At 37.2% G+C, this 21,232-nt stretch overlaps 1 protein-coding gene across 10 annotated transcripts in view; it reads left to right on the top strand.

Annotated features, from left to right (window-relative positions):
- Nucleotides 1-21,232, top strand: part of CD109 (CD109 molecule) — a 149,122-nt gene that overhangs the window by 117,660 nt on the left and 10,230 nt on the right. For 9 of the 10 annotated variants that reach the window (XM_047418211.1, XM_047418212.1, NM_133493.5 and 6 more), the window contains 7 exons: nucleotides 6,369-6,450; nucleotides 9,993-10,221; nucleotides 11,232-11,397; nucleotides 13,133-13,323; nucleotides 14,141-14,296; nucleotides 15,354-15,419; nucleotides 18,130-18,272. In XM_047418211.1, the coding sequence (XP_047274167.1) occupies nucleotides 6,369-6,450; nucleotides 9,993-10,221; nucleotides 11,232-11,397; nucleotides 13,133-13,323; nucleotides 14,141-14,296; nucleotides 15,354-15,419; nucleotides 18,130-18,272 (1,033 nt within the window). The remainder of the gene's footprint in view (nucleotides 1-6,368; nucleotides 6,451-9,992; nucleotides 10,222-11,231; nucleotides 11,398-13,132; nucleotides 13,324-14,140; nucleotides 14,297-15,353; nucleotides 15,420-18,129; nucleotides 18,273-21,232) is intronic. The other variant, NM_001159587.3, reaches the window with a different exon arrangement.

Consider the following 21,232-nt stretch of genomic DNA (forward strand, 5'->3'; position numbering starts at 1 on the left):
TGGCTGGTGAAAGTCAGCACAGTGGAGCTCCCCAAAAATACATCATCTCACATGCTGAACTAAATTATATTTCAAAGTAGTGGACGAAAGCTTCTTGGTATAATGCTTTTCATTATGAAATCAGTGTCTCATTTCAGAGACTCTCTTTTTTCTTTTGCCATCACATTTGCCAAAGTCCTTTAAATATACTGTAGTTGTTTTTATTTTTTAAGAAATTAAAGTGGCTTCAGCGTGAGTCATGATTATATTATTTAAATGTCATTTATGAACAGCGCATTGTTTTACTTAAATCATGCTTGGCCCAGGAGTTCTGTAACCTAACCCATTATTTTGTTGGTCGAAACAACAGCTACATCATTGAATGAAGTGTCTTTGCTGTCAAAAAGGAAAATGGAACCATAACATGAAAACTGTTTTTGATAAGGACTGGAAATCCAGAACCTGTTAATTGAAGATTTAAACCATTTGTTTTCCTCAGATATTTAAATCACAGTGCCTGCAGTTCAACTTTTTAAAGTGAGACTCAAACCAAGTCTAATTGAAAACACTATATTTCCTCCATTGAAATAAAAATAAGAGAAAGAAAGCTTCAGAATTCGGATGTTGCCATTGGTCACAAGTATGGCTAGTGGCCATAGCTTAAAAAACTGTGATGTTCTCACTTTCCATTTCATGTCATAGAAAGTAAACAAATTCATAATGATTTCTTTTAATACAGAGAATTTTTTTTATCAGCTTATTACCAGAGAAAATTCTTGAAATAGTCACAAATAGCCGACTTTACTTCCTTTATTTACATGTAATTTTGACACGAGGTAAATCAAGTCAAACTATGTTTAGAATGTTACTTTTTCATTGTTTGTGAGCAGTATTTTTATCTTTATTATAATAAATTTTGAAATTTTACATTCATGGTTATCCCAAAGAAAATTCATAACCCAGAACAGGATGTGTCTTATCTGGCCCTTTATGAAGGGCTCATGGGTTTTTATCTTAAGAGCCTCTGGACTTCTTCTGCATTTCAATTTTCAGAAGTCTATGAAAGTTCTGAGCATATGATTACTTTTCAAACTCAAGAGCCATTCCTAAAATGATTAACTTAAAGGTGATACTCTTATTTCTTCATAAACTTTTGGAGAGAGCTATGTTTTTGCTTTTCTCGTCTGTTGTGATGCAGAGTCTCCAACTTAGATGACTGCACTGGAAGGCTGAGTTGTTGTATTAACAACAAACATTATAGACGAGTCATCAGTGTCCTGTTTTTTTTTTTTTCTTTTTTTTGTGATGGAGTCTTGCTCTGTCATCCAGTCTGGAGTACAGTGGTACGATCTTGGCTCACTGCAACCTCCGCCTCCCAGGTTCAAGCGATTCTCCTGCTTCAGCCTCCCGAGTAGCTGGGACTACAGGTGTGTGCCACCACACCTGGCTAATTTTTGTATTTTTAGTAGAGACGGGACTTTGCCGTATTAGCCAGGCTGGTTTCAAACTCCTGTCCTCAGGTAATCCACCCGCCTTGGCCTCCCAAAGTGCTGGGATTATAGGCATGAGCCACTGTGCCTGGACCTGTTTTGTTTATGGGATGGAAATTAGGCCTGATACACTGGGACGATTTGGAGGACAGTCGAGGGATCCACAATGATGCATGCTGGTTTAAGATGAGGAAGGAAACCTCACAGGACACTCCCACAAGGAGACATACAAGTTCTCTCCAGGTTGTGAATTTCTCCCTTACTTTTCCATGGGAGCAGAGCTGGTGGTTTGGATTCTCGGTGTTATCTAAGCCTGCTCAAGAAATTCACTGCAAAACTGGTGATTGTCTGTGGCCTCTTCTCTGGGCTGGCTGCCTCTAGTGGAAGAATGGTGCTAGTTGTTGATATTAATGGGGAATGTTGGAGGTCAGCCACCTGAGGGGTAATTTCCATAAGCACTGATCTCATCTCCATGATCTCATCTCTGACCAGTTTCACAATATCTCATACTTGGAACTGCCGTTGTTGATGTGATCTGGGGGTGTGGAGGCACATGGTCCTCTCCTTGAGGTTGGTCTTTCTGTCACAAAAGTACCTCAAACTTTTGTGTAGGGATTGAGGGCCTCAAACCTATTTTCTTTTTTCTTCTTCCCTCTCCTCTCCTTCTCCTCTCTTCTTTCCTTTTCCTCTTTTTTCTTAGGTTGAATTCATAGTTAAACTCTGGCTATCTGGAGAATTTAGTCCTTAATTAAAAATTGAGGGAGAATGTCCTGGACTCTCTTGCTGATTTCTTTTGTGAACATTAATTATTTTGCTTCTCTGTGATCCCTGGCTGCCTCTGAAAAATGAGATAATATACTGCATTTTTAAAGGTTATGTGAAAACTAAAACATGATAAAATGAACTAGAGTAGTGATAATGCCTATCATTTAATTTTTTCCACTTTTGTTTATGTTTTGAACATGTAGAACATTAACATGCTTCCAAAAGACAAACTTATTTTGAGACATATATTCAAAAGAGTGTCTCTTCTTCCCCTTTTCTTTCTCCCTACCTCTCATTGGTAACTATATCAGGCGGTTCTTGCATTACTATAAAGAAATACCCGAGTCTGGGTAATTTATAAGGAAAGAGGTTTAATTGGCTCATGATTCTGCAGGCTGTGCAGGAAGCATAGCGCCGGCATTTCCCCCTAGGAAGGTCTCAGGAAGCTTACAGTTGTGGCAGAAGGTGAACTGGGAACAGGCACATCACATGGTGAAAACAAGGACAAGAGAGACAGTGTTGTGGGGAGGTGCCACACACTTTTAAATGACCAGATCTTACAGTAACTCACTCACTATCTCAAGGACAGCACCAAGATCCAGTCACCTCCCACTGGGCCTTACCTCCAACATTGAGGATTATAATTGAACATGAGATTTGTGTGGGGACAAATATACCAGTAACCTACTTCATTAGTTTCTAGACTATCTTTTCTCTCTCTCCTTTTGCGAAAATAAATGTATACATATATGTTTTCTCATTTCCCCCCGCAATTTTTTTTTTTTTTTTAAAGACAGGGTGTCTCCCTTTGCCCAGGCTGAAGTGCAGTGGCACAATCATGGTTCACTGCAGCCTTGACTTACTGGGCTCAGGTGATTCTCCCACTTCAGCCTTCTGAACAGGTGGGACTACAGGCACATGCCACCATGCTAATTTTTTTTTTGTATTTTTGTAGAGACAGGCTTTTGTCATATTGCCCAGGCTGGTCTCAAACTCCTAGGCTCAAGTGATCCACTCGCCTTGGCCTCCCAAAGTGCTGAACCTTGGCAATAGGTGAACCTTGGCGCCTCGCCTCATTTCCCCTTTTTATTACACAGAAGATAGTATATCTATATGTACTATTTTACACTTTGCCTTTTTCACTTAACAGTGTATCCAGGAAATTACTCTGCATCAGTTGACCGAGATATTCCTCATTCTTTTTTTCACAGCTGCATAGTACTCTGTCATGTGTGTGTACCATAGTTTATTCAATCAGTCTCCAGTTTTGGGGCACTAAGATTGTTTCCATTATGTTACAATTACAGATGATGCTGTAATGAATAATCTTCTGCGTATATATTTTTGTATTGTTGGAGGTGTGTCTTCAGGGTAGATTCCTAGAACTGGGATTACTGGGTCAGAGGGTAAAGACATTCCCCTACATGGTAGTTGTAACCTTCTGAATTCCCTCTAGCAGTGGATCAGTGCTGGTTTCCATACAGCTCACCCAACAGAAGGAGTGGTCAGACTTTTGAATCTTAATGCTAATCTGATGGGAGAGAAATGGTATCTCAGTGTAGGTTTAATTTGAGTTTCTCCTGTTATGAAGTTGAATGTGTTTTCTATATTAAGATTTGTTTTTATATTTTTGTCTTTTGTGACTTATCTGTTTTGCCTTTTATTCACTTATTTTTATAGGGCTTTTTATCCTTTACCCTAATTTTTAAAAAGTTCTTTATATATGTATATACATGTAAGTAATAACATATAAACATACATAAAAATTACATAATATTGATATTAGCTATTTATCCATCTTATATGTTGCAAATATGGTCTTAATTTATTTGTTAAGCCTTGCTTATAGTGTGTTTTGCCTTGGAATAGTTTAAAAACTTTAAAAAAATAGTCAAATGCATCAATTTTTTTATTTTATTGCATCTGGTGCTTAGAGAGCCTTCCTCTACACCTATATTAGAGAGTAATGCCTATTGTTTGTTGAGAGCTTTCCATGTAAAAGGTACTTACTGAAGTCTTTTCTTCTTTTATCATGTTTAATAATTGGAAGAGCTCTGTGATTTACTAGGAGACAGTGGCCTTGGAGCCAGTGAGAAGTTGGCTAATGCCCAACTTCACTCCCTGTTAGCTGTGTGACCATGCACATGGTATCTGTATCCGCTGAGTTTCAGTCTCATTATCTGTGAAAAAGGGAATAATAATAGCATCTATGTCAGAGGGTCCTTGTGAGAATTACCTGAGTTAATCCTGCAAAGGACTTTGAACAGTTCCTGACATCTAATGAGTGCTGAATGAAAGTTGGCTAATTACTGCACCGTAATAATTCAATTAGAAACATAAAGGTATAATCTAATGTTCCCTTCTTCAAATTAAGCAAAGTTTTGTCATCACTTTAAATGTTTATATTTCTTTTACCATAAGTCTTAAATATCACCATGAAACAGAGTATCTTGTTTTCTTTTTTTCTTTATGCATTTTGTTTTATTGTAACTTAAATCAGATACTTAAATCTAGGGTTTCTTTTGGAAAGACTCAGGGAGAAGTTTGGGACTTGAAGGTGAGAACACATTAACTGTAATTTCAAACCATTAATGCTTATGTTTAGTTAGTCAAATATGAATTTTACTTATAGTTCTGGATGCTTCTAAAATATGGTATTTATAAAGTCAAATTTGTTTATTACTGCAGTTTACTGGGGAAGGATTTCAACATTTCACAAATGAGTATGGTTGCCAAGCTTTGCCATGTCTGTGCTGCAAAGCTCAGGCTGTGTGCCCTTACCTGCTAATAGTGGAATTGTGTAATTTTTAGAAGGATTTTTGGCTATCAGAGAGTCATTGATAATGCCTTGAGCTGGAAATGTTCCTGCTAATGGTTGCTTTTTTAGTGATAAGTTATTGCTATCTTAACTTTATTTTTAGCAAGTTAGTTTATTGTGGGTTGTTTGGTGAATCCTTTAGAGTTTGGCCTATGTTTTCTCACACTGGACTTTGAGATCTGTATGCATTGCTTTGCAAATATGAAACATCTGCTTTTTATTTGCAATCATTTATTTGTAACTATTTGCAAATATGACACATTTGCTTTTATTAATGCAGATACGTGAGCCTTAACCCCCTACCTAATTTACTTCTGTAATGATACTTCATTGCCACCACTGAGCATGTGTATATGTGTGTGTGTGTGTGTGTGTGTGTGTGTGTGTATATATATATATATATTTTTTTTTTTTTTTTTTTTTTTAGTGGAAACATGGAATTGGTGGGTAGGCAGGCAAGTTGGTTTTTTGGTTTACCTCAGTTGGCCATGGCCCCAAAATTTAAGAGCCACCGTTTTAGATTATTTTGCATTTCCTCCTCTGTATTGCTGGTCTAAGAATAGAAAATACTTTTATTTTCTACTTTGGCCTTAAACTTAAATTAATGATACCCTACATAGTATTTTTCTTCTGTAGCAAACAGTGCTAGATGACTAAGCATTGAAACAATTTTGATGAACACTAGACAGTTAAATAAAAGTCTGCCTTTAATTTGCTTGCTTTTGAATGGCTAGAAGCATCATCTATGCCATAGTGATCTTTTAATTTACTTTAATTTGGGATATCACAGGCTTTTTTTTTTTTTTTTGAGATGGAATTTTATTTGCTCTTGTTGCCTAGGCTGGAGTGCAATGACGCAAATCTCGGCTCACTGCAACCTCTGCTTCCTGGGTTCAAGCGATTCTCCTGCCTCAGCCTCCCGAGTAGCTGGGATTACAGGCATGTGCCACCATGCCCGGCTACTTTTTGTATTTTTAATAGAGATGGGGTTTCACCATGTTGGTCAAGCTGGTCTCGAAGTCCTGACTTCAGGCAATCCACCTGCTTCGGCCTCCCAAAGCGCTGGGATTATAGGTGTGAGCCACTGCACCCGGCTGGGATATCACAGTTTTTATTTTATGCATTCTGCTTGAAAAGTCCTGGCATTTTAAATTTCCAACAGCACTTAAAATAGAAAGTACTCAATATTAGCTCTTGGTTTGATTTCTTCTTTCCCCCTCTCTGCCCATATTTCCTCAATATGAAGTCATAATTAGAAACTTTCATCCATTGCAAGTTAATGATTACTTTGACTATCTGTCTATTTTTGTGTCTAGGTTACCAGAGAGAACTTCTCTATCAGAGGGAAGATGGCTCTTTCAGTGCTTTTGGGAATTATGACCCTTCTGGGAGCACTTGGTAAGTGTTTTTGCCAACTGAACAAATCCGTGTCATGGAATGGGCTTTCACTAGGTCACAATAGCCACGAAATTGACAGATATATCTCTATATATTATAGACTGGGAGGTTGCTTTTTCCTTAGTCTGGCTTTAAAAAGAGATTTTCTTTTTAAAGTATTATTTTCAAACATTAACAAATCAAATGTTTTTATTTAGAAAAGATAAGTTATAAATCCTCTTTTTTGTGTGTGTGTGTGTGTGGAAGAAACAGAAATAAAAATACTTTATGATGATGGTGCAGCTGATAAAATCAGTTAGAAATGCCGGGTGATTGTGACACAGCTTTTTTCTTAATCTTCCATGACTAATACAAGTGTTGTGTTACTGCGGTCAATGTAGTTTAAGTTTGTGTGTGTGTGTGTGTGTGTGTAAAAAACAAACACTGATGGAATTAAGTATGAACAGCCAGTTTCCTCCAGACTGGAATCTCTATGTGGCTGATTTTGGATGATTAATCTCTCTTCTTGTACTTATCTTCAATTTCCTATTTTACTCAGAAAAAGATTGACTCACTGTATCAATCAGGATAGACTAGGAGTGCTGTGGTAACAACCAACCTACTCAATCTAAGCAATTAACAATGAAGGGATTTCTTGTTCATGCTGCCTTTCCATTGTGGTCAGCAGGGGGCTCTGCAGCTGCCAACGTGTCCACGTCTCCAAAAGGAGGCTCCAGGTTTGCCACAGCCCGGAAAGAGGAGGCTGGAGTCTATAGCACTGGCAATTAGAGACTTCATCCTGAGTGTATCATTTCTACTCATTTTATCCTTCTCAGAGCTGGTCACATGGCTATGCCTAACCTCACTGGGGCAGGAAAGTGAATTCCTCTGTGTAACCAAAGTAAAAGAGAACTGTATATTATTGAATATCAGTAATGTTTACCACATGAAACTTTATATAACATGAAACAGATCTGCTTCAAATTTTCTCTTGGCCTTGGCCTGACTCAGGATATAGAACCATAAATAGAAAGCTTTCAGTGTTGTATTGCTTGATGTTCTTTTTACCTCAGTATAGTGTTTTGTAGCAGGGACTGGCAAACTTTTCTGTAAAGGGTCAGATTGTAAGTATTTCAGGCATTTTGGGCCACGTAGAGTCTCCGTTGCATGCTCTTCCCTCTTCCTCCCTCTCCTCCCTCTTTCTTTCCTGTCTTTGTCTTTTTCTTTTCCTTCTTTTAAAACCCGCTCTTAGGTGGTGGTGTTGGCAGGTGGGGGCTGGGTTGGTGCACACATAAACAGGCCCTGGGCTGTATTTGGCTTGAGGGCCAGATTTGGGCCAGGCAGATTTGGCCCACAGGCTGCAGTTGGCTAACTCCCATTCTATAGGAGAGAAAAATATCATTTTCCCCACCTGAAGTACTACAGTTTGCTTGTGAACTATGTATGCATTCTTCACCCACAGCTTTGGGGCTGACTGAAGCGTGTTGGAGCTCTTCTTTGGTAAATATCTAGAACAGTCCAAAGATGAATAACCTTGGACAATTTATTTAACTCTCTTGGACTGTCAGATTCTCAGTCTACAAAATAATGGAGCTGGATTCAACAGACACATTAAAAAATGCTCATCATCACTGGCCATCAGAGAAATGTAAATCAAAACCACAATGAGATACCATCTCACACCAGTTAGAATGGCGATCATTATAAAGGCAGGAAACAACAGGTGCTGGAGAAGTTGTGGAGAGATAGGAATACTTTTACACTGTTGGTGGGACCATAAACTAGTTCAACCATTGTGGAAGACAGTGTGGTGATTCCTCAAGGATCTAGAACTAGAAATACCATTTGACCCAGCTGTGGGGAAAAGAAAGAGAGATCAGATTGTTACCGTGTCTGTGTAGAAAGAAGTAGACATAGGAGACTCCATTTTGTTCTGTACTAAGAAAAATTCTTCTGCCTTGAGATGCTGTTAATCTGTAACCTTACCCCCAACCCTGAGCTCTCTGAAACATGTGCTGTGTCAACTCAGGGTTAAAGAATTAAGTGCTGTGCTTTAGATATGCATACACATAAACATCTCAATGCCTTAAAGAGCAGTATTGCTGCCCGCATGTCCCACCTCCAGCCCTAAGGCAGGTTTCCCCTATCTCAGTAGATGGAACATACAATCGGATTTTATACCGAGACATTCCATTGCCCAGGGACGGGCAGGAGACAGATGCCTTCCTCTTATCTCAACTGCAAAGAGGTGTTCCTTCTGCTTATACTAATCCTCCTCAGCACAGACCCTTTACGGGTGTTGGGCTGGGGGACGGTCAGGTCTTTCCCTTCCCACGAGGCCACATTTCAGACTATCACATGGGGAGAAACCTTGGACAATACCTGGCTTTCCTAGGCAGAGGTCCCTGCAGCCTTCCGCAGTGTTTGTGTCCCTGGGTACTTGAGATTAGGGAGTGGTGATGACTCTTAACGAGCATGCTGCCTTCAAGCATCTGTTTAACAAGGCACATCTTACACAGCCCTTAATCCATTTAACCCTGAGTTGACACAGCACATGTTTCAGAGGGCACGGGGTTGGGGGTAAGGTTACAGATTAACAGCATCTCAAGGCAGAAGAATTTTTCTTAGTACAGAACAAAATGGAGTCTCCTATGTCTACTTCTTTCTACACAGACACAGCAACAATCTGATCTCTCTTTCTTTTCCCCACACCCAGCCATCCCATTACTGGGTATATACCCAAAGGATTATAAATCATGCTGCTATAAAGACACATGCACACGTATGTTTATTGCGGCACTATTCACAATAGCAAAGACTTGGAACCAGCCCAAATGTCCATCAATGATAGACTGGATTAAGAAAATGTGGCACATATACACCATGGAATACTATGCAGCCATAAAAAAGGATGAGTTCATGTCCTTTGTAGGGACATGGATGAAGCTGGAAACCATCATTCTCAGCAAACTATCGCAAGGACAAAAAACCAAACACCACATGTTCTCACTCATAGGTGGAAATTGAACAATGAGAACACTTGGACACAGGAAGGGGAACATTACACACCGGGACCTGTTGTGGGGTGGGGGGATGGGGGAGGGATAGCATTAGGAGACATACCTAATGTAAATGACGCGTTAATGGGTGCAGCACACCAACATGGCACATGTACACATATGTAACAAACCTGCACGTTGTGCACATGTACCCTAGAACTTAAAGTATAATAAATAAAAATAAAATAAAATAAAATTAAATTAAAAAATGGAGCTGGATTAGATCATTTCTAAATTCCTTTTCAAATCTGAGATTTTTGAGTCAACATGGAATTTCTTGGCCAAGCCCAAGTGGAAACCAGTTCTGCCTGCTAGAGAGAGTTGCTTACCTTGTCCCTTTGCTCTTTCTTTTTTGATTTTTTTCTTTCCTTGTTCCATCTTCAGTGATTCCCCCTTTGATGAATCTTCTGATGGGGGAAAAAGTGTTGTTGTTTTGCTTGCTCGGTGTTATTTGGTGGACCTTATAAAGTGTATTTTATGTAATTTTTTTCTCTTTTCATAAAGGTTGTCAGCTTTTGTTTTAAGATGTTTCCTTGAAGCCGATCCTTACATAGATATTGATCAGAATGTGTTACACAGAACATACACTTGGCTTAAAGGACATCAGAAATCCAACGGTGAATTTTGGGATCCAGGAAGAGTGATTCATAGTGAGCTTCAAGGTGGCAATAAAAGTCCAGTAACACTTACAGCCTATATTGTAACTTCTCTCCTGGGATATAGAAAGTATCAGGTATTTCGTATTTAATTTAATAAATGATAGATGGGAAATTCAAGGAAGGTAGGTCTTAATGGGTCAAATATGTGTGTGGAAACTTAACAAGTTGCAGCTTTACAACACATGTGAAATCTGAATTTGAGTACTCTTTTGCTTTGCATTTGTGGCCATGTTCCAAAATCTGAGAATAAAACATTAACCCACTCTTTCAGAATAACTAAGAGAATTCTAAAAATGCTTTTTAATGTATGTATTGTACTTGCTATTGGTAAGATAAGTCAATACATGTTTTATCATTGAAAAAGTTAATTTCTGAGGGGAAAGAAAATTATTTAAAATTTGACAATGTGTTCTAGCAAGTTTAGATTGCAAAGGATTTTTTACTTATAAAACATCATGGAACAGTTACAATATCTGTTAATTTAGTGCTGAGAACACCCATACCCTGAAAAGTGTGTTGAATGGGCATGGATGCCTGGATGAGAATGAGTATGCGTGGAAAGGTATGCTGACGAGCTTAAGTTTGCTCCAGAGCTGTCCTGGTGATTGATGCCTTTACTGCTTACTGCCTGCTGCATTTTATGAGATCACCAAAGTCATTCTCTTTATTAGGACCCCCACTATTTTCCTATTCTACTAGTAGGCATGTAGAAGCTAAACTTTTCCTGAACTTAGGGCCGCACTACCAGAGATCAAATATAAGAAATATATTTCTCAAGCAGTTTGCTGTTCTTATCTGAGTCTGTGATACTGAGTGGGAGAAACACTGGCAAAAGCTCTACTTTTTTCTTCTAGGGAATGACACCTGTTTACTTATAAAAACTGAAAAACAGTATTATTTTCAAAATGCATGGCAAATCTTTAAATGTCAATGATCATGGTTGATTTTCATTGCCTAGTACAAGGTCAGGTACTTCATAGACACTGAACTTATTTTTTAAATGCATGTTTCAAAGTACTTTTTGTTTCAGTATGTGGTAATGGGTTACTCTGAATAGTAAAAAACATACTTTTTTTCTTCCAAGCCTAACATTGATGTGCAAGAGTCTATCCATTTTTTGGAGTCTGAATTCAGTAGAGGAATTTCAGACAATTATACTCTAGCCCTTATAACTTATGCATTGTCATCAGTGGGGAGTCCTAAAGCGAAGGAAGCTTTGAATATGCTGACTTGGAGAGCAGAACAAGAAGGTAATGTGCTGGGCCCACTTGAGGTTGTTATGCTTTATGAAATATATAACTTACATGAGAAAAATTTTTAGCCAGGTTTGAAATTGATTACATCTGCATCTTTTGGTGAAAAGTAAAACACATAATGAGATCAGGATGGGCCTGACATGGCCACAATGCTTCTGGTCTCCCCAGGGTTTTTTTAACAGAATTTCAGGGCTCAGATGTCTCTTTATTTTAGATATGTGATGCCCTATGTCAGTTACCCTTTGAGTGTCTGATACCATTTCTGGTTTGGCAGCCTTGTAGTTTGCTAAGACCTTGGGTTCTGGAGAGACAGGTTAAATCCTGGTTCTGCAACTTACCTTTATGAGGTTCAGTTTTCCCAACTGTAAAGTGGAAATGGCACCTATTTTAGAGTGGCTGTGAGGATTAAATGAGATAATGTGCAATGCTGCTGCATAGCAAATGCTCAAAAATAGGAACTAAAATGCTAATTAAAAGAAATGTGAATACCAAAAAATGCTGCTAGTAAGTGGATTATGTGTATTTTATATACAAAGTGGACAGGGATCCAGGTGTGTGTGTGTGTGTGTGTGTGTGTGTGTGTGTGTGTGTAAGAAAGAGAGAGATGGAAGTGGGTGGGCAGAAATAAGATAATGTCCAGTGATTCAAATTTCTGTTAATTCAAGAAGGGATAATTGTAGAAAGTGTTTAGAGGCTTCTGAGACTGTAAAAAATATTGTATTAACAGTAACTTAGATTGAATCCTTGTTACCTATTCCAAAGCTGGGGACTAGAAGATTATTGCTTAGAGGCTGAAGCAGTCTTTGACATTTTTTCTTCTTGTCTGCTTGGCTAAGTGGTAGTTATTTAATATTCCACCTAAGTGTAGTCATCATCTAAATAGTAATATTTGAGAGAGGGCACCAAGTAGGATGGTCCTCTGGGGACTAGAGCAGAATTATCTCTAGGAAGGTTGTTGAGTTAGCTGGGGATCCTAATTTTTTTTCCTGGGGGCTTGAACCTCAAACTGTTAACACCAACCTTCAGATAATGAAAATGGGAGAGTCCAGAATATTAGAGCTAGTTAATGGCAGATTCCCAGAATAGGATTCTTTTCAATGTGTCTTAAAATATTTTGGGGATGGCCTGGTCAGATAAGTAACGTGCATTATCTTCTGAAATATATTATTTTTTCCTTTTATTTATAGCTATTTAGTCTTGAGCCAAATATAGGGAATTTCTCATAGGAAAACTATTTTCATCAAAACATCCTCAAATGTAGGCAATGGGAAAAGGATGAAAATTTACAAGTATATAGGTTGAGCATCCCTAATCCAAAAATCTGAAATCCAAAATGCTCCAATGAGCATTTCCTTTGAGTATCATGTCAGTGCTCAAAAAGTTTCAGATTTTTGAGCATTTCAGATTTTGGAATGTATGTATGCTGTAAATATTCCAAAAATTCAAACAAAACAGAAATTGGACACACTTCTGGCCCCAAGCTTTTTGGATAAGATATACTTAACTTGTAATAGTTTAAAAAAGCAACATATAGGCACATGTATACATATGTATGTGTGTGTGTGTTTGTGATAAATAAATACATGTCTGGCATAAATAAATACATGTATACAAGTATATATTTTTTATGCTAGTTAAGTACAACTTGGACCAGAGTAGGAATATTTAATGGTATAAAATGTAATTTTTCTGGATAATTGATCAGAATGTTATTACTTTTCTCTTGCAGGTGGCATGCAATTCTGGGTGTCATCAGAGTCCAAACTTTCTGACTCCTGGCAGCCACGCTCCCTGGATATTGAAGTTGCAGCCTATGCACTGCTCTCACACTTCTTACAATTTCAGACTTCTGAGGGAATCCCAATTATGAGGTGGCTAAGCAGGCAAAGAAATAGCTTGGGTGGTTTTGCATCTACTCAGGTGAGAGATGATAGTTTTTTCCCTTTAAACTATAATATATAATATAGATTTATTTATTATATATATTTTATATATAATATATAGTATATATTATATAAATCATATGTTATATATAAAAAATATTTTTAAAAGTATGTGGTTGCATTTTTTCCTTGATTTCATAAAATTACTTGGCAGTTTCAAAGTTTAGTAACTTAAGCAAAAGGCTAAATTGATTAATTTTAATTTTTTTCTCCTCATTACTATGAATTTCATGTCTGATATTTATATGGAATAAATCAGTTCCCCATCTGCCACTTTTCATCTGTGGTAACTGATATAAGAGTAGATGTTCAGTTCCATATAGCAAATATTTTCTATTTTCTTTTCTTCTTTTTGGAAAGGAAAAACTGAAACTTTTAATTTACTGATAATATGATCATTTATGAGCAAAATTCAGTGGGATCTACAGAAATGCTACTAGGATTAACAAGTGAATTTAGTAACATTGTGGTATAAAAAAATCATTGTACAGAAATCCATTGTATCTATATATAAGCAATGGAAATGCAAATCAAAATAGCATAACATGTGAACTGTTTAGGGATTAATCTGACAAAAATCAATAAGATCTATACACTAAAAACTATAAAACATTTCAGCAAACATTTTCTGAGCCTCTCCTGTACTCTAGGCCAAGGACATTCAAATATGAATCAGGGAGCATTCCACTCTGAAGGAAGGTGTATGAATATCCAGCAACAAAATACTACTAAATTTACTCTTTGAAGACCTTGATATATACTTATATGTACAAATGTTTTTCTTCCCTCAACAGGATACCACTGTGGCTTTAAAGGCTCTGTCTGAATTTGCAGCCCTAATGAATACAGAAAGGACAAATATCCAAGTGACCGTGACGGGGCCTAGCTCACCAAGTCCTGTAAAGTTTCTGATTGACACACACAACCGCTTACTCCTTCAGACAGCAGAGGTGTGGGCAAGGGGCAGTTATTTAAAAATCAGTGTAGACAATTCTTTATGCTGGAATACTGCTTTATTTGTAATCTGTTGATTTCAACAAAGACTTGTTTCCAGAGCTCTGTAGAGTAATAGGGAGAAGTGGTGCCCTTCTTTGGCTGAATTTGCTGAGCTCTGGAAGGGTGGGGAACTTTGGAAAGATTGGTGGAACAGGAGAAAACACGGGCACTGTAACATTGGGAAAGGAATGAACATAGAAACCTGTTGAGTTTCTATTCTTCATAGGCACTGTGCTAGATTACTTTACGTATGCTATTGCATTTACTTCTCAAAGTAACTCTAAGAAGTAAGTACATCTATCCCCATCATACATATGATAAAACTGAGGCTGAGAGAGGTTAAGTGACTTGCTCAAGATCATGTTACTAGTAACAGTAGAGCTAGGATTTGAACTCATCATTCCAAAGACCATGTTCTTTTCAGCTGCTCCACATGTCTTCTTAGGAGAATTGATAGAACCGGTAGTAGAATTCTTACTTTAACTGGAATAAAAGAATATGCTAGTTCTTAACTTTATTCCCTTGATCAGTTTTGTGGGAGGTTAAGTACAATGGATGAAGGTGATAACTTCAATTCTGGAAAGTGATGAAGAGTGGTGATGATAAAGGAAAAGAAAGAATAAAGTTAGGCACAGTCATAGACAATGTGTTATTGTGTTCCTGGGAGAGCCAGGGGATTAGGCCCTGATTAAGGGAGGTCAGGGGAGGGAGATGACTTTAGTTTCTTGTCTTTTATGCTTCAGCCCCAACAGGAGGACAGACTTGTCAGTAGCACTAATGTGCCCTCCCATGGGCAGAGGTGAGGGAGCTTGGGGAGTGTGCACTTTTCCTTTCATCACCTTGCTTACCTATTTGACCCATAGCTTTTGATATGTGAGACAGTGCAAAGCTCTTAGTGCTGTCAGTGATTGCTTCTTTTCCTAATGAGGGATAGGACTGATCTGTTTTGCTACTTGGAAGGATCTAGATATGGAAAATTAGCCTCATTCACTTTTTTTCACCTTGATTCAGCTTGCTGTGGTACAGCCAACGGCAGTTAATATTTCCGCAAATGGTTTTGGATTTGCTATTTGTCAGGTATGTAACGATGCTTATTTTTTTAAGTTAAATATGACTTTTTATAATAATTATTTGGTTTGGGGCTTTATTAAATCTTAGATAACTTGAATATAATTCCTAATGATTTACATCTGTGACTTAAGCAAGATATATCACTGTCTTTAATAAAAAGTATTAGAGATGTTGCCAGCCAATGAGTAGAGAGCAATTATATAGATTGATTTTCTGTTTGAAAAGTATTTCTTGGAGATTATTTGCTTTTTGAAGTGAGGGTTAATGTCCTCCAATATGATTCCTGATAACAAATACATGTTTTACTTATAATTTCTTAATATTCATCTGAGAATATAGAAGTCAACATGGTAGAATTATTGACTTGAGGGGAGGAATTGTGTCCCTTTAATGTAAAATCTTATATAATAGTAAATATAACAATTAAAGCATAATTATGCTCAATCCTCTGGTACAGAAAGAAAATATAAAGAAATCTACATTTTTATAGTGCAGCAGGAGCTACAATAAAATGGAAGTAGTATGAAAAATACTGAATAAGATAATCATCACACTAAATAGCACATAAAAATATTGAGGACTTTAAGATCATCTCATTAGAACCCAAAGATAATTTGTGATAGGACCAAAAATGGTTGTGTGCTTGGGTAGAAACAAACGACCAAACAAAAACACTGAAACACTTACTGAGAAAGTAAAAAAATGGCTATTATGGAGAAAAAGTACTTTTTTCAAAAACCAGAACAACCATTCTAGTAGAGAGAACAGGTATACTTGCTGAGTAGGGCGGGTATACCTTGCTAAGCAGGTATAATTTAGAAACTTCCAAATAATTCTAAGATTATTTTGCATTATTCTCAGAATACAGTAAACATTTTTTAAAACTAAAGGAAAAATGATCACAATGAAAAGGAATGGTATTCAGTGAAAAGGTCAGAAAGAGAAAGTAAACAATTTATTTCGATCTTTACTAACAAAGACCATGGGAAAATTCTCATTCTCAAGCTGTCTTGCAATCCAAGAGTAAATCCAGAAGTAAATATGCTGTGTATTCTAGATAAAATTGAAAAATTATATGTACTTAAATCACCAAGTTGGTTGGAATTCATTTTTGATAAACCAAATGTAGAGAAATTAGTGAAACCAAGTGATTTTTTACTTGAGGCTTGAAGCACACAGGGGTAAATGTGGTACCTGTTGGTCAGAATGTTCATCAATCCCATGTTGGTCTCAAAATGCAGAAAACAAAAGGAAGGGACTAGTAGGCACCTCTCATGAGGGAGGAAAAAAATTACAAAGAAGTTGGTCACTCAGAAATGGGTATTGAGATTTCTTACAGTTGATATTTTTATAAGTGCTCTGGAACAAGGAAGGCAAAGAAAACTCATGAGTTTGCAGTAAATATTACCCTCTTTTGGGTAATAAAATACTAAACTGTTGGAAATAAACTGCAAGATCTTTTGAAGTTCCCTGAGTGAGCAGTTGAGCTTTATTGCCAAATGTAAACCCTAATACTTAGTTATGGATGGGCATTAATTATGACCCAAGAGACAGAGTAGTCCTTGTTTGTTTCCTGATAGCATTGGTCTCTAAAGGGACAATTGCATGCCACCGAAAGGGGAATGATGGAAATAATAGAAAGCATTTCTCCAATTTTATGGGACTGTTCTTCAGCTGCTTCAGGAATACTCTATAATTTAATCATTATACTTTAAGAAAGAGTTGACAAATGTCCAAAGTAAGATAACCAGAAGGATCGAGTGGATGAAGGATTATATCAGTTTGGATTGTGGCAGAATAAGAAGATTGCAACTTTTAGATTTGAAAAATGAAGGCTTAGAGGATTTTTTTAAGTATGCAAATCCATGAGGGGTATTAGATGTTAGTTCTGAGGGGTGTGTGTGTATGTGTGTGCACGTGTGCATATGTGTATGTGTTTTAGGTATAAGTTAAAAGAAAACACAACCTTACAAAGCAACAGTAAGCTTTATGAACCTTGTTATAAAAAAGGGGATGAGGTAAAACATTTAAATAGATTCCAGTCCATCTGGAGATGAGATTGGACTAGGAAGTTTTGAGTACATTCCTAAGCTTCTGATTTAGGATCCCTTTGAGAAAGACACGGGTCCTCAGGCTCTCCCAGTGTGTCTACGGCACCTTTAACATCAGTGGTGGGTACAGAGTAGATGCTGAGAAAGACCCAGTTGACTTGAAAGCTATCATTTATTTTATCATCTTTGACAAACATTGTATGAACAAAAATAATCCTCAGCAATGTTCAACTAAGGCTCTTCAATGTTTTAGTTTTGATTTATCCTACTGAGAGTTTTTGAAGTTCTAGTTAGAGAAAAATGACTCCATTTGGGCAACAGGCCTTAGAAATTAGTGAATGCTGTCAAGAAAGTTTTTTCCTCAAGGGAATGTTTGCCCTCTTTGGCAAACCAGTATCCCCAAATATCACCCATAGTGTTTTATTGTACTTGTTTTGGAATATTACTTAACAGTTTTCTCCATTTAAACATAATTTTATAAATTTTAATACTATTTGTTAATAGTGATACTTTGTGAGCAAGTTAAATTAATTTTTTTCTAGTTTGAAGATTAAAAATCTTACTGGGTCCATCCAAAGAGAATCATTACCTAATACAGTATTTAGAAGGCAAAATGATGGAAATTTATGTCCAACTTGTTATTTATGCTAGTTTATTTTTTACAGCTCAATGTTGTATATAATGTGAAGGCTTCTGGGTCTTCTAGAAGACGAAGATCTATCCAAAATCAAGAAGCCTTTGATTTAGATGTTGCTGTAAAAGAAAATAAAGATGATCTCAATCATGTGGATTTGAATGTGTGTACAAGGTAAGTGTCTGCTTAGGTCTCTCTTCTTTTTTTCCTTTAAAAAATAGACTTGAAGGTTTAATTATGTATAGTTGTCTATATCAATCTAAGAGTTATATTGAACAAAGAATTCAGTTATGCACTACACTTCAGATTACAAACTAGAAATACTACTAATTATATTCAAGCATTTATTAGATGCATACAAAAATTATTTACAAGTTTTCCCTGGACGTATAACACATTTGAATAGAACAGTGTATATATAAATTAATAAAACTCAGGTCTAATTTAGGAAAACTTTAAATTAAGTCAATCATATTTAATACTTCAAAAATGGTTATTTCTTGTTATGAGTTATTTTTCTGTAGAAATAATTATTTCGGGTTCATATTGAACCTTAACTGTTAGGCATTTAACCCAAAACTTTATGATAACATGCAAATTCAATCAAGAGGATAGTTTTTTTTTAGGTACATTGAAAATATTCCAGTTTAGGAGTTTCTCATCTTGGATAATTAGACACTTAACAGCTGAAGCTTCTGGGAGTACTTTTTAAGTTGACTCTTAAATTGTTCTATATCCAAAGCATCTGAGAATCTTGTTAATAAGGAAAAAGGGTTCTACCTCAACCCTACCGACTTCACAGTAAGACTGGGAAGCTGCAGATTTTTGGTCATTCCACTGCACACAGGAGTTTGAGCACACTCCTTGTGAAAGTTCTTGAATAGAGGCTTCACTTTTTTTTCTTTCATGAATCTATTCTCTTACATCTGCATTATTTGGTATTGAGCTGGGACTTAAAGATGCACTGGCATTGAGGAGCTGCTGTTTGCTCTTCTAAAATATCCCATAGTGTCCTGGTTTAACTTAGCTTATTGTTGGGCTAGAAGTCCCTGATGTGGTCCTGAGCTGGCAGATGTTCTTCAAGGTCATCTCTGGGTGTTCATCCAGGTGGCCAGCCTTCACAGCTATTGCCTGGACCCAGTCTCCGCCATTACTGCTACTGTCTGTCTTTATCTTTGGACCTTCTTGTTCATGATTTTGGGGTAAAATGTCCCACATTTGTCCCATTCTTCACCTTCTTGGGCATTTTGGGCCAGCAGCAAGGGGATATCAGAATCTCTGTGTTGGCATCCTTTTCAGCTGAGAAAAAAGTAGGACTCCAATTATTTTTTACGAATCTTCCAATTGGTCTCTGTTATAGAATAACAACTTCAAGTTATTACTATTATTATAAACAATAACAACCTACAGTAATTACAAACTTATATGCCAGGCACGGCACCAAACACTTTTACATGCATATCATTTAATTCTTACAGGAACTCTGTAAAGTATGTGTTATTATTATCCCTGCTTTTCTCAAATTCCTGGCCTCAAGTGATCCTCCTGCGTTGGCCTCCCAAAGTGCTGGGCTTACAGGCATGAGCCACTGTGCCCCACCTATTCTTGCTTTTCTCATTCATTTATTTATTACCTCAGCAAGTATTGCTTGAGTCTCTACTATGTGCCAGGCATGGTGTCTGTGTGTCAGGCGTGGGAATATAATTGTAAGCCAAAAAAGATGCAAGCTCTGCCTTGTGGAACTTGCTGTTTGAGGGGGATACAGAAATTAATGGAAACAATCCCCTAAGCAAGCCTAAAATTCTAATTTTGAAAAGGGCAAAGAAGAAGACCCTCATGGAGTTAAGAGAGGGAGATTTTTACCTCTTAAGAGACATCAAGTGAAGAAACATGAGAAAAATGAGGTGGGGAACCAGAATTCAGACTGTGAAGAGGCCTCAGCATTTATAGGGGTTCATGTAAGGATGCAGGATTTCCAGTTTTAAGCATCAGGAATCAGGTGGACAACAGAGTTTGGGTGGTAGGTAGAGCCTGAAGAAGGGAAATGTTTTCATGTGAGGGTAGGGGTTTTATAAAAAGGATTTAAATGCTGCTACTAGTTTTCTGAGAAAAATCTGGTATGAAGGACAAATAACATTTAGGTGTATTTTTTCAGCAGCACATTATAAAAAGATTACTTGATATTTCAGACACTTTATTCCTATCAACAGGGTCCAAGACCTTACCTCATACCAGGCTTTCTGTGTGGCATGATAGTTTAACAAATTCTGCCCCAGGCTTGGTAGAGAGATCAGATCAACCAAGGTACTTTTAATATGTACTGAAAGTATAATCTGCATTGTGCTTTTAAATGTTTAAGCATATTGACTGTTTTTTTCTCATCTATATTTTTTTCTCATATGCAAACACCTCCAGTTTCAATCCATTTATTAGTTCTCAATAACATCTATTTTGGCTCAGTGCATTGCCAGCAGATGGTTTCAGTTGCTTCGGATTGCAGAGCCAGCTGAAGTCAGCAGTTGTACTGTATGGCTTTTCAATCAGTCATGTTTGGCAGGCATGGGTTTTCTGCTCTAAAAAGCAAGATTTTTCTAACAGCCCTTCTTTCTTTTGCCATTTAAAAGGACAACAGGTACTAACTTAATGCTATGATTCTTTTAAATTGGAGGCAAACATCTTTCCATAATCACTTAGCTGGGCTCCTTCTGCTCTAAATGAAAAGCTCTTGCCATCAATTCATTTTATAAAAATATTTATTTCCAAGCAGACAAAATGTTGTTGGTGCCCAGATCCTTTGATGCTCACATCACGTACAACAGGGCGAGAGAAGGATGCAGTGTAATAAAACTTTCCAAGGCTTGTAATTCCCTCACGGTGGCCAAAGAAAACAGAAAATGTTCTTCAAGTATATGGGAGAACAAAGGGATGGCTTCTCCCTACTGGTCTGATGTTTCTAAAATCAGACGAATAAAAGGTTGCTAAGACCTTGGATGGGACCTATCACTAAGTGGTCAAGTGATGCCTCCTTCTCAGGGCCTGGCTTTCAGCTTGCAAGTTTGGTGCTGTCAACTTTTGAGAAAAGGAAAAGTGCAATTCTGTTTGGAATCACCACTAGAAAATAGAGTTGTCTGTTG

This window comes from Homo sapiens, chromosome 6, assembly GCF_000001405.40.
Source record: "Homo sapiens chromosome 6, GRCh38.p14 Primary Assembly".
Taxonomy (NCBI): domain Eukaryota; kingdom Metazoa; phylum Chordata; class Mammalia; order Primates; family Hominidae; genus Homo; species Homo sapiens.